Consider the following 12,808-nt stretch of genomic DNA (forward strand, 5'->3'; position numbering starts at 1 on the left):
ACAGGCATGAACCACTGCATCGGGCCCTCATCTCTCACTTTTAAGTCAAAGATACCCTCCCTAGGCTGCAGAGCTTTGATGGAAAGGCCCCACCTGTAATCTACTCTTTCAGACATTTAATCAGATTACAGGTATTTAAAAATCTCAACCCTTAAATCTGTGGGCTAAAAGTAGTCAGTGTTTTTCACACTGAGAGAGCCAGATTTCTGACTCTGTATTTTTTATTTCCTTTTACAAATAAGCTGATCTGTCTGTATAAGCTCACCCTCTTTCTTATAATGCATTATCACAACGAACCAATATTGACCCAAACAAGCTACATCGTCCTGCTTAAGTGCAAGGAGGGCTGGGCTATATTGGGAACCCACACACATACTCAGTGATCCACGCAGCTTGTTGTCAAATTACTTTGCTAAATTTCCTTATCAATTCACACTTCTTCCAGTAGTAGGTAAGAGTTTGCCTATCTGCATTCTTCATGCTTTTTTGCTGTTGTTATTCTCACATGTCTGTACAACAAAATTTAAGCTTCCTAAAGATTGGAACCATGTCTTCTTAATTTCTATACATCTCACTACTGGTAATCTGAAATATACTTGAATGTTAATATAATGAATGTATATAAGAAAATGAATAAATGGTAGGATTACGCATCTGTTTTTAGAGGAAAAACTTATGAGTTCCCAGAATGCACATATCAAAACACCTGCCACAGGACTTCGATCTTGACAAAGCTTTACTATAACCCTCCTCAGATCTCTTGGAAAACTCTGCTTTTGTGACTTTATCCAGAATAACAGCCAATCCAAAAAAAGTAATTTCCAGCCCCCTGACCTCCACCACAAATCCATTCCAAATTTAATGCCTAAAGCTCCGTTAATATGGAATAACACACCCCTTTTGCCCAAAGCCCTGTTAATATGGAATAATGTACTCCCTTTGCCTAAAGTCCTGTTAATATAGAATAATGCACCCCTTTTGCCTAAAGCCCTGTTAATATGGAATAATGCACCTTTGTTGCCCAAAGTCCTGTTAATATGGAATAATAAACCCCTTTTGCCTAAAGCCGTGTTAATACGGAATAACACATCCTTTTTGTCCAAAGTCCTGTTAATATGGAATAATGCACCCCTTTTGCCTAAAGCCCTGTTAATATGGAATAATGCACCCCCTTTCCCTCTATATCCAGCTCTTTTCTTTCAAACTGGAGACTCCCTGAACCTCTTGAGTATACAGCTCTCTCCTGTTTGGCAAGCTAATAAATTCAGCACTATTTGTTTGATTTTAGTTCTAGTGGTCTTTATGCCACTGCTTGGCAATGCATACATTCATTTTCCTATGTCTCTCCTGGTCATATAGGTAAATGATGCAGCATGATTTGGTGATAAAAGTTTAGTAACTGGGTCAGCCAAACCTGGGTTCAGATCCCAGCTCCATCGTTTACAAGGTAGTTGAAGCAAATCAATTCAGCACTTCATATATCAGTTCTCTGTCCTGTATGAGACAGATGGTACCCAGTGGACATGAATAACCAATAGAAAGCAACTGGAACACAGAGAACTCAATGTACGCTAACAAAGTCCAGTTGATTTCTATATATGGGAAACATTTTCAGTAGCTGCCACAATTTTACCTCTAAAAGCAGAGCGAGTCATTCCTCAGCAAGAACTAATGGATCTTAAACAGAATCTGAGAAGCTCACCTCCCTGACAATGACCTCCTGATCTGTAGAAAGCCAATCTCTCTCTCTCTCTTTCTCTCTCTTTCTCTTTCTCTATCTCTCTCACCTCAAACTCTACGATTACAAATTAGGATCGAATCCCTCATATGTGTACTTTACCAGTTACATTTGATCTTCAAAATCACCCTGTAGACCGGGCGTGGTGGAACACCCCTGTAATCCCAGCAGCTTGGGAAGCTAAGGTGGGAGGATCACTTGAGGTCAGGAGTTCAAGACCAGCCTGGCCAACATGGTGAAACCCTGTCTCTACTAAAAATACAAAATTAGCTGGGTGTGGTGGCACACACCTGTGATCCTAGCTACTCGGGGGCTGAATGAGGCAGGGGAATTGCTTGAACCGAGGAAGCAGAGGTTGCAATGAGCCAAGATCATGCCATTGCACTCCAGCCTGGGCGACAGAGCCAGACTGTCTCAAAGAAAAAAAAATCGCCCTATATAGGATTGTCCAAAGGAATCAAGCTTGCGTTTACTCTAGATGTTTAGACTAGTTCATAGGCAAAGTGGGAATACATAAAAATCCTAAGTCACAACGTTGTCATCAGGATCACAATCAGCCAAGATAGATGCAGTACAAAACATAATGCTAGTGTAATGTTTCCGGAGCACTGTATCATCTTCAATCAGTAAAGATTATTTAATTAAATGGAATTATTAAATCACTATAAAATTTTATTAAATGCATATATGTAAACTTGTGTTGGCAAATAAACAAATTTGAGCTGTATTCAAGCAGCGCTGAATTCCTTATTCTTAGCAAATAATCAAAAGTATTTTCCAAAGTTGAACATTATTAAATGAAAGTAAAACATACGTTAAGAACTAGTATTGTTGTAAATATGTATGCAACAGAAACTAATCATGTGTACGCATGTGTGTATTTCAGTATCCTGAGTAGGATACATATACCACATTAATTTTACTAGAGATTAAAGCTGATGAAATGAAATGTATCTTTATGAATGTATATGCATCTGCAAATATCCATGCTACATACATGGAAGTTAAGAATTTCCACTGGCCATTTGTTCAGCCACTTGAGCGTTATCTTCTGTTTCCTCTGATTTTACAAATTCCTTGATAAATTTCCAAAGGCCCCTTAAAATACATAAGAAATGAATACCATAGGTTAGAAAAAAATACATTAAGCATGAAATAAAATTTCAAAATAAGCATCTATTTTAGACACATTTACCCAAAAACAGACAAGATGAGACTTTGTAATCATTTACTTTTTTAAAACAGATATTTTGAGGGAGTTTTGGCCTTGAATGTAACAGATTCTCTAAATAGATAGATGGATTCCCCTGTAGCATATAGTGTGGCATGGGAAGTAGGTGTACCATGAACATAATGATATACTTGAGTCCATTCACTTTCATTGCCAAGGCCATGGGAGGTGCTTCCCCAGTTTTGTATTTGTAACTCTATTCCCTCTTTTTAAGAACACCCAACATGATATAAGGAACCACAAAACCTAGATCCACCTGTATGGCTTGCTCAGCACTCTATCCAATCCCTTTCTCCCATGGCTTTTTCTGCCCCATAAGCTGGAGAGTGGGGTGCTCTATGTTCTGGCCTCTCTTACGGCTGAGAGTGACCTTGGCCCATGGTGCTGGCCAATGAGATGTGGGTAGGAGCACCTAGAAAGAACTGTCCTTCCTGAATAAAATGGAAAGCCTCAAAATGAGAAGCTCTTTGCCATCTGTCATTCACATTTCCCTTTCTTAATCCATGGAATGCGGACCCAGTTAATGCCTGAAGGCAGCCATATTGAGACCCCGAGGAGGCAGCAGCCACACTCAAAGGAAAGCAGGGAAGAAAGGTGAGGAGCCCTAGTTCCTTAATGATGTCATTGAGCCCAAGCCACCTACACCTAAAAATCTTTTTCCTGTTGATACAAATAAGCCTTTCCCTATTTAAATCATCATATGGTTTTCCATTGCTCTTAATAATACCACATTCTGAGATTCAAACTATAGTACCAACTCAAAGAAAAGTAACTGTGCGAAGTATAAGCTTATAATGTAAATAATAATGTTTATACCAATAAGTTTAGTTATAAACAAATGATATAAATCAGCTACTTACTTTTTAAACTAGAATTTTCAGAGTAATATATGCATAGGAGTTTTCAAAGATTTAACATCACTAAAAGCCATATAATTGGAGAAAATAAAGCCATGCCTTCCCACGTTCCTGATTCCTGCCCATGTGAATTCACCCTCACCTCCAGCTTTATCCAATAAATTCATTTATATATGACTAAATAAAGTGTACAGATTGAGGTCTAAATCTTAGACTGAGCATTCCAAAGCACAGAAAAGAATGCAACATGTGTATTTAATGTAAGCATTCATGAGTGTGAACCCTTCAAAGGTCTATCTAGTCTAATCTAGTTTTAAATAACTGATCTTGAGAACAGCATGATACTGCTCTAGTTCTTTTATCATGATGTCAATACTTACTCCTGCCTCTCTTCACTGATCTTTCCTATGATCTGCTTCACATGGTTTTCAGTAACCTACAAAGAATTACGATCAGTTGGTCATGCTTATTACACAGGACAAGCAGTCACCAGAGGAAATATTTTTATTGATAAACATTGATTCACACAAAAAACTTACTTTTATTTTCTTCTTTAAAATCATATTTTCTGTTTCCAATTGTATAGCTTCATGCTGGAAGAGAAGTTGTTTTAAACACAATATACTTGGTTAAAAATATTTGTTAATTATTTTTCTCTATTTAACAAGATTATGTGAATGATATTATAATTTCAAGAGTACTCAATAGCACATTACTTAAAAACAGATGAAGAAACAAAGCATAAAATGAAGGACAATTAATGAGAAGGAAAGATCCTGGTCCTCCCGGTAAAAAACTAGGAGAGGAGGAAATTGATGTTTCAAAATATCAGAAAATTTTAGGGAAATTCCAGAAGTGAAGGGTTCTTCACTTTTCAGAACTAATGATAGAATTTGTTAAGGGGGCTGGAAAAATATAAAAATACAAATATCAATAAATCACATATATATCAGCAATAACTGATTATAAACTGTAAGGGGAAATTTTTAAATTACCAGTTATAATAGTAATACATCCCATAAACTCATAAGAACAAACATAATTATCTTTCACCAAGTTATAAAAATACATTAAGTAAGTATAAAATAATCCCAGATAGGAGTATTAATATTGTAAAGCTGTCACTTTCTCCCAAATGCATTTATAAATTCAAAATACCAAAAGTATTATTATTAGAACTTCAAAAATTAATCAATAGTGTTAATGAAAGTATTCAGGATAACTGTGAACAAAATAATGATGGGCAGAGGGTATAAAGACTTGCTCTTTCAGATATTACATATGTTGAAAAGTATTAGCAATTTTAGTAGTTAGGCTGCATGGGGTATCATTAAGAACCAAGCCTGAGTTTCAATATTAAGTCTACTGCTTGCTAACTGTGACCTCAATCAAGTTACTTAGCATATTAGTGCTTCATTTCTGTACTTCAAAAAGAGGATTAATAATAGCAGCTACCTGTTAGGGTTGCTGCAAATTAAATGAAATTATATTTTTTAAATGTTCATAAAAGTGTCTGATACATTGTAAATCCTCAATACATTCAGCTCTTTTTTTTTTTTTTCCTGGTTGGAAATAGTCTATTTGAAATCTAGAACCAGATACCAATTACATAATAGAATAACAATGGCAATTCTATTGTATTTTCCAGTATTTGAATTAAGCAGCCAAATATAAATAAGAAGTAGTTAAAGTAATATAAATTAGTGATATGGAATCTTCATAGGGAGTTTTCTATTTCTTAGACTTGTTTTATCTAAGGAGGTTTTAATTATGAAAGAATAGTTTACATTGTTCTGACATTATATCATGCTTCAATATTTAAATTTAGAACCCATTACTGTTTTAAAATGCAATTATAAATTGATGCTTGTCCTGAGGACATTTATTTTCTGAAAGAAATAAAGGAGATCAAACCCTAAACAAAAACCGCGAAGAAAATCTGCAGGGAGGGGCCAAGATGGCCGACTAGAAGCAGCTGCTGTCAGCAGCTCCCACAGAGAAGAACGAAAATGGCAAGTGAATCCTACACCTTCAACTGAAGTATCCAGGTTCTCTCACTGGGACTGACTAGGGGGTTGGCACGACCCACAGAGAGCAAGAAAAAGCAGGGTGAAGAGATGGCCCACCTGGGAGCCGCAAGGGGACCTTCCGCTCCCAGCCAAGGGAGGCAGTGAGTGATTGTGTTACCCTGCCCAGGAAACCATGCTTTTTCCACAGATCTGTGCAAACTGCAGATCTGAAGATCCCCTCGTGAGCCCACACCATCAGGGTCTTGGGTCCCAAGCAGGGGTTTACAGACAGAATGTCTGCTGGCTCTGAAGAGTCTAGTCAGTCTGCACAAGGGGGACTCCCCCAAGCGCAGTGCACCTGCTCCACCAAGGGGCAGTCAGAGTGCTTCGTTAAGCACTCCTGACTGGGTGAGACCTCCCAACAGGGATCGCCAGACACCTTATACAAAAGCGTTTCTGTTGTAAACAGGTTGGTGCTCCTCTGGGACAAAGCTCCCAGAGGAAGGAGTCGGCAGCAATCTTTGCTGTTCTGCAGCCTCCATTTCTGACACCTCCGGGTGCTAGAGGGACCAAGGTGAATAGAGTCCGAAGTGGACCCCCAGCAAACTGCAGCAGCCCTATGGAAGAGGGGCCTGTTAAAAAAGCAAACAAACAGAAAGCAACAACAAGAAAAACATCAACAAATGAGACCTCACCAAAACCCCATCCAAAGGTCAGCACTCTCAAAGATCAAAGATAGATAAGTGCATGAAGATGAGAAAGAATTAATGCAAAATAACTGAAAACTCAAAAAACCAGAGTGCCTCTTCTCCTCCAAATGATCTCAACACCTCTCCAGCAAGGGCATAGAACTGGGCTGAGGCTGAGATGGATGAACTGACAGAATTAGACTTCAGAAGGTGGGTAATAACGAACTTCACTGAGCTAAAGGAGTATGTTCTAATCCAGTGCAGAGAAACTAAGAACCATGATAAAACATTATAGGAGCTGTTATCCAGAATAATCAGTTTAGAGAGAAATATAAATGACCTGATGGAGTCGAAAAACACAACTCAAGAACTTCACAATGCAACCACCAGTATCAATAGCCAAATAGACCAAGTGGAGGAAATAATCTCAGAGCTTGAAGAATATCTTGCTGAAAAAAGGCAGACAAGATTAAAGAAAAAAGAATGAAAGGAATAAAAAAAGCCTCTGAGAACTATGGGATTATGTAAAAATATTGAAACTACCACTGAGTGGGGTACTTGAAAGAGATGGGGAGAATGAAACCAAGTTTGAAAACATACTTCAGTATTTCATCCAGGAGAACTTCCCCAACCTAGCAAGACAGGCCAACATTCAAATACAGGAAATCCAGAGAACTGCAGTCAAATACTCCATGAGAAGATTAACCCCAATATACATAATCATCAGATTCTCCAAGGTTGAAATGAAGGAAAAAATTGTTAAGGGTAGCCAGAGAGAAAGCCCAGGTCACCTAGAAAGGGAAATCCATCAGACTAACAGCATGCCTCCCAGTGGAAACCTTACAAGCCAGAAGAGATTGGGGGTCAATACCTAACATTCTTAAGGAAAATAATTTGCAACCCAGAATTTCATAACCAACCAAAATAAGCTTCATAAGCAAAGGATAAATAAAATCCTTTTCAGACAAGAAAATGCTGAGGGAATTTGTCACCACTAGGCCTGCCTTGCAAGAGCTCCTGAAGGAAGCACTAATCATGGAAAGGAAAAACCATTACCAGCCACTACAAAAACACACAGACCAATGACACTATGAAGGAACTACATTAGCAGGTGTGCAAAATAACCAGCTAGCATCATGATGACAGGATCAAATTCACATATAACAATATTAACCTTAAATGTAAATGGGCTAAATGCCCCAATTAAAAGATACAGAATGGCAAGCTAGATAAAGAGTCAAGACCCATCAGTGTGCTGTATTCAATAGACGCATATCACATGCAAAGACACACATAGGCTCAAAATAAAGGAGTGGAGGATAACTTACCAAGCAAATGGAAATCATAAAAAGCAGGGGTTGCAATCCTACTTTCTGACAAAACACACTTTAAACCAACAAAGATAAAAAAATACAAAGAATGGCATTACATAATGGTAAAGGGTTCAATTGAACAAGAAGAACTAACTATCCTAAATATATATGCACCCAGTATAAGAGCACCCAGATTCATAAAACAAGTTCTTAGAGACCTACAAAGTCTCTAATAATAGTGGGAGACTTTAACACCCCACTGTCAATATTAAACAGATCATAGAGACAGAAAATTAACAAAGATATTCACGACTTGAAATCAGCTCAGATCAAGTGGACCTGATAGATATGTACAGAGCTCTCCATCCCAAAACAACAGAATATGCATTCTTCTCAGTACCACATGGCACTTACTCTAAAATCAATCACATAATTGGAAGTAAAACACTCCTCAGCAATAACAAACAGTCTCCCAGACCACATGCAATCAAATTAGAACTCAAGATTAAGAAACTCACTCAAAACCACACAACTACATGGAAATTGATCAACCTGCTCCTGAATGACTCCTGAGTAAATAATAAAATTAAGGCAGAAATCAAGAAGCTCTTTGAAACTAATAAGAACAGACAACATACCAGAATCTCTGGGATGCAGCTGAAGCAGTGTTAGAGGGAAATTTATAGCACTAAATGCCCACATCAGAAAGCTAGAAAGATCTCAAATCAATATATAACATCACAACTAAAAGAACTAGAGAACCAAGTGCAAACAAACCCCAAAGCAAGGAGAAGACAGGAAATAATCAAGATCATGGCAGAACTGAAGGAAATAGAGACACAAAAAAACCTTCAAAAAATCAGTGAATCTAGGAGATGGTTTTTTTGAAAAAAAAATTAATAAAATAAATAGACCACTAGCTAGATTAATAAAGAAGAAAAGAGAGAAGAATCAAACAGACAAAATAAAAAATGATAAAGGGAATATCACCACTGACCCCACAGAAATACAAACAACCATCAAAGAATGCTAAAACACCTCTATGCAAATAAACTAGAAAATCTAGAATAAATGGATAAATTTCTGGACACATGCACCCTCCCAAGACTGAACCAGGAAGAAGTGAATCCCTGAATAGACCAATAATGAGTTCTGAAATTGAAGCAGTAATAAATAGTCCACAAATTTTTTTTAAAAAGCCCAGGACCAGATGGATTTACAGCTGAATTCTACTAGAGGTACAAACAGGAACTGGCACCATTTCTTCTGAAACGCTTCCAAACAATTGAAAAGGAGGGACTCCTTAACTCATTTTATGAGGCCCGCATCATCCTGGTACCAAAACCTGGAAAAGATACAACAAAAAAGGAAAACTTCAGGCCAATACCTCTGATGAACATTGATGCAAAAATCGTCAATAAAATACTGGCAAACCGAATACAGCAGCACATCTAAAAGCTTATTCACCACAATCAAGTTGCCTTCACCCCCAAGATGCAAGACTGGTTTGACATACACAAATCGGTAAAATTTATCACATAAACAGAACTAAAGACAAAAACCACATGATTATCTGAACAGACACAGAAAAGGCCTTCTATAAAATTCAACATCCCTGCATGTTTAAAACTCTCAAAAAAACTAGGTATTGATGAACACATCTCAAAATAGTAAGAGCCATTTATGACAAACCTACATCCAATATTATACTGACTGGGCAAAAGCTGGAAGCATTCCTCTTTAAAACTGGCATGCACAAGATAAGAATGCCCTCGCTCACCACTCCTATTCAACATAATATTGGGAGTTCTAGCCAGGGCAATCAGGCAAGAGAAAGAAATAAAGGGTATTGAAATAGGAAGAGAGGAAGTTGAATTGTCTCTGTTTGCATATGACATGATTCTACATCTAGAAAATCCCATCATCTCAGCCCCAAAGCTTCTTAAGCTGATAAGCAACTTCAGCAAAGTCTCAGGATACAAAATCAATATGCAAAAATTGCAAGCATTCCTGTAAACCAACAACAGACAAGCAGAGAGCCCAATTATGAATGAACTCCCATTCACAATTGCCATAAAGAGAACAAAATATCTAGGAATATAGCCAACAAGAGAAGTGAAATACCTCTTCAAGGAAAACTACAAACCACTACTCAAGGAAATCAGAGAGGACACAAATAAATGGAAAAACATTCCATGCTCATGGATAGGAAGAATCAGTATCATGAAAATGGCAATACTTCCCAAAGTAGCTTATACATTCAATGCTATTCCCATTAAACTACCATTGACATTCTCCACATTACTAGAAAAAAAAACTATTTTAAATTTCATATGGAAACAAAAAAGATCCCCTATAGCCAACACAACACTAAGCCAAAAGAAGAAAGCTGGAGGCATCATGCTGCCTGACTTCAAGCTATACTACAAGGCTACAGTGACCTAAACAGCATGGTACTGGTACAAAAAACAGACATATAGACAAATGGAACGGAATAGAGAACTCAGAAATAAGACTGCACGCCTACAACCATCTGATCTTTGACAAACCTGACAAAAACAAGCAATGGGGAAAGGATTCCCTATTTAATAAATAGTGCTGGGATAACTGGCTAGCCATATGCAGAAAAATGAAACTGGACCCCTCCCTTACACCTTATACAAAAAATAACTCAAAATAGGTTAAATGCTTACATGTAAAACCCAAAACTGTAAAACCCTAGAAGAAAATCTAAGCAATACCATTCAGGATATAGGCATAGGCAAAGATTTCATGATGAAAACATGAAAAGCAATTGCAACAAAAGCAAAAATTGACAATGGGATCTAATTAAACTAAAGAGTTCTGCACAGCAAAAGAAACTATCATCAGAGCAAACAGACAACACACAGAATGGGGGAAAATTTCTGCAATCTATTTATCTGGCAAATGTCTAATGTTCACAATCTACAAGGAACTTGAACAAATTTACAAGAAAAAACAAACAACCCCATTAAAAAATGGGCAAAGGACATGAACAGACACTTCTCAAAAGAAGACATACATGTGGCCAACAAGCATATGAAAGAAAGCTCAACATCACTGGTCATCAGAGAAATGCAAATCAAAACCACAATGAGATACCATCTCACACCAGTCAGAATGGCAATTGTTAAAAAGTCAAGATACAACAGATGCTGGCAAAGTTGTGGAGAAATAGGAATGCTTTTACACTGTTGGTAGGAATGTAAATTAATTCAACCATCGTGGAAGACAGTGTGGCAATTCCTCAAAGATTTAGAACTCAAAATACCATTTGACCCAGCAAACCCAAATCCCTTTTGTATATACCCAAAGGAATATAAATCATTCTATTATAAAGATACATGCACATATATGTCCATTGCAGAACTATTCACAATAGCAAAGACATGGAATGAACCCAAATGCCCATCAACGATAGGCTAGATTTTTTAAATGTGGTATATATACACCATGGAATACTATGCAGCCATAAAAAGGAATGAGAGCATGTCCTTTGCAGGGGTATGGATGGAACTGGAAGCCAATATCCTCAGCTAACTAATGCAGGAACAGAAAACCAAACACCACGTGTTCTCACTTATAAGTGGGAGCTGAACAATGAGAATGCATGGACACAGGAAGGGGAACAACACACACTGGGGGCTGTCAGGAGGGTGAAGGGAGGTAAAACATCAGGAAAAATAGCTAATGCATGTTGGGTTTAATCCCTAGGTGATAGGATGATAGGTGCAGCAAATCACCATCGCATACATTTACCTGTGTAACAAACCTCCACATCCTGCACATGTACCCTGGAACTTAAAATAGAAAAAAATAAAATAAAATAAAATAAATAAATGTAAAAACTTAGCCTGTTAAAATAAGGCTAGAATCAGTACAATTATTTCATCCAGTAGTATTTCATTCTTACAACAGTAAACCATAGCGTTTCCTCTATATTTAAATAATTTTCTTCTAAAACAGGGGTCAAAAAACTAATCCAGTCTGCACCTATTTCTGTAAATAAAGTTTTATTGGCACACAGCCATGTCCCCCCTCCAAAAAAAAAAAGAAAAAGAAAAAGAAAAAAGAACATCCGAACATATGATTGTAAAAGAGAAAGAGATAATTTTTTCATAAAGAAGGTTGGACCACCAACACCTTTCTATATGCTCTATAATTCTGCTAAAGAGAATAAAAGTAGTGCTGGAAAAATATATTTAACTATAGAACCACAATAAAAAAAATCATGTATTTCTTATATACTCTACAACTGGAGGTTACATTGAGTTATATTCTACACAATTTAAAATTCTGTTTTTAAATTTTTTAACTTTTATGGATTTAGGGGTATGAGTGCAGTTGTATTACATGGATATATGTGTAATGGTGGGCTTTAGTGTACCACCACCCAAATAGTGTACGGTGTACCCAGTAGGTAGTATTTCATCCCTCATCCCCCTTCCACACTCCCACATTCTGGAGTCTTCAATGGCTATTATTCCACTCTGTATGTTCATGTTACTCAAAAAATTAGGTTTTGGCTATTAACAGAAATCTATAGAATTTTTTTATCACTTTCCTTTTTTCTTATTTTGATAGATCTTTTAATTATTATGATTATTTGCTACAAACATTTTGAAATAAAAAGTACATTTGGGCCAAATTTTATGATTTTTTTACCCTATTACCAAATCACATTACTTCATGTGTTTGCCAAGGTCTTCAAGCAAAAGAATAATGTAAATATTTAAATAAATAAGTTGCGTACCTCTATGCTTTTAATCCTATTCTCAGTGATATCTGAAATTCCAGTATGAACCAAAGTTGTTTTAATTTCTTTTTCCAGAGCTTGTATCTCATCCCACTTACTGAGTATTTCACACCTCTTCTTTTCAACCTTCTCAGTAAGAGTAAGTCGGTTTTCATCAATTATATGTTTCTCAGATGATTCTGGAAATATTTTTT

The 12,808-nt window shown here is 36.9% G+C and overlaps 1 protein-coding gene across 9 annotated transcripts in view; it reads right to left on the minus strand.

Annotated features, from left to right (window-relative positions):
• Window positions 1-2,389: 2,389 nt before the first annotated feature.
• Window positions 2,390-12,808, minus strand: part of C6orf118 (chromosome 6 open reading frame 118) — a 29,942-nt gene continuing 19,523 nt past the window's right edge. For 4 of the 9 annotated variants that reach the window (XM_005266838.3, XM_011535510.2, XM_011535509.2 and 1 more), the window contains 4 exons: window positions 12,612-12,793; window positions 4,366-4,419; window positions 4,207-4,262; window positions 2,390-2,836 (listed from right to left, as the gene is read on the minus strand). In XM_005266838.3, the coding sequence (XP_005266895.1) occupies window positions 2,743-2,836; window positions 4,207-4,262; window positions 4,366-4,419; window positions 12,612-12,793 (386 nt within the window). In that variant the 3' untranslated portion in view covers window positions 2,390-2,742. Of the gene's footprint in view, window positions 2,837-4,206; window positions 4,263-4,365; window positions 4,420-11,436; window positions 11,659-12,611; window positions 12,794-12,808 lie in introns of those variants that run through there. The other 5 variants (NM_144980.4, XM_011535511.4, XM_047418256.1 and 2 more) reach the window with 3 other exon arrangements.

Source organism: Homo sapiens, chromosome 6 (assembly GCF_000001405.40).
Source record: "Homo sapiens chromosome 6, GRCh38.p14 Primary Assembly".
NCBI lineage: Eukaryota > Metazoa > Chordata > Mammalia > Primates > Hominidae > Homo > Homo sapiens.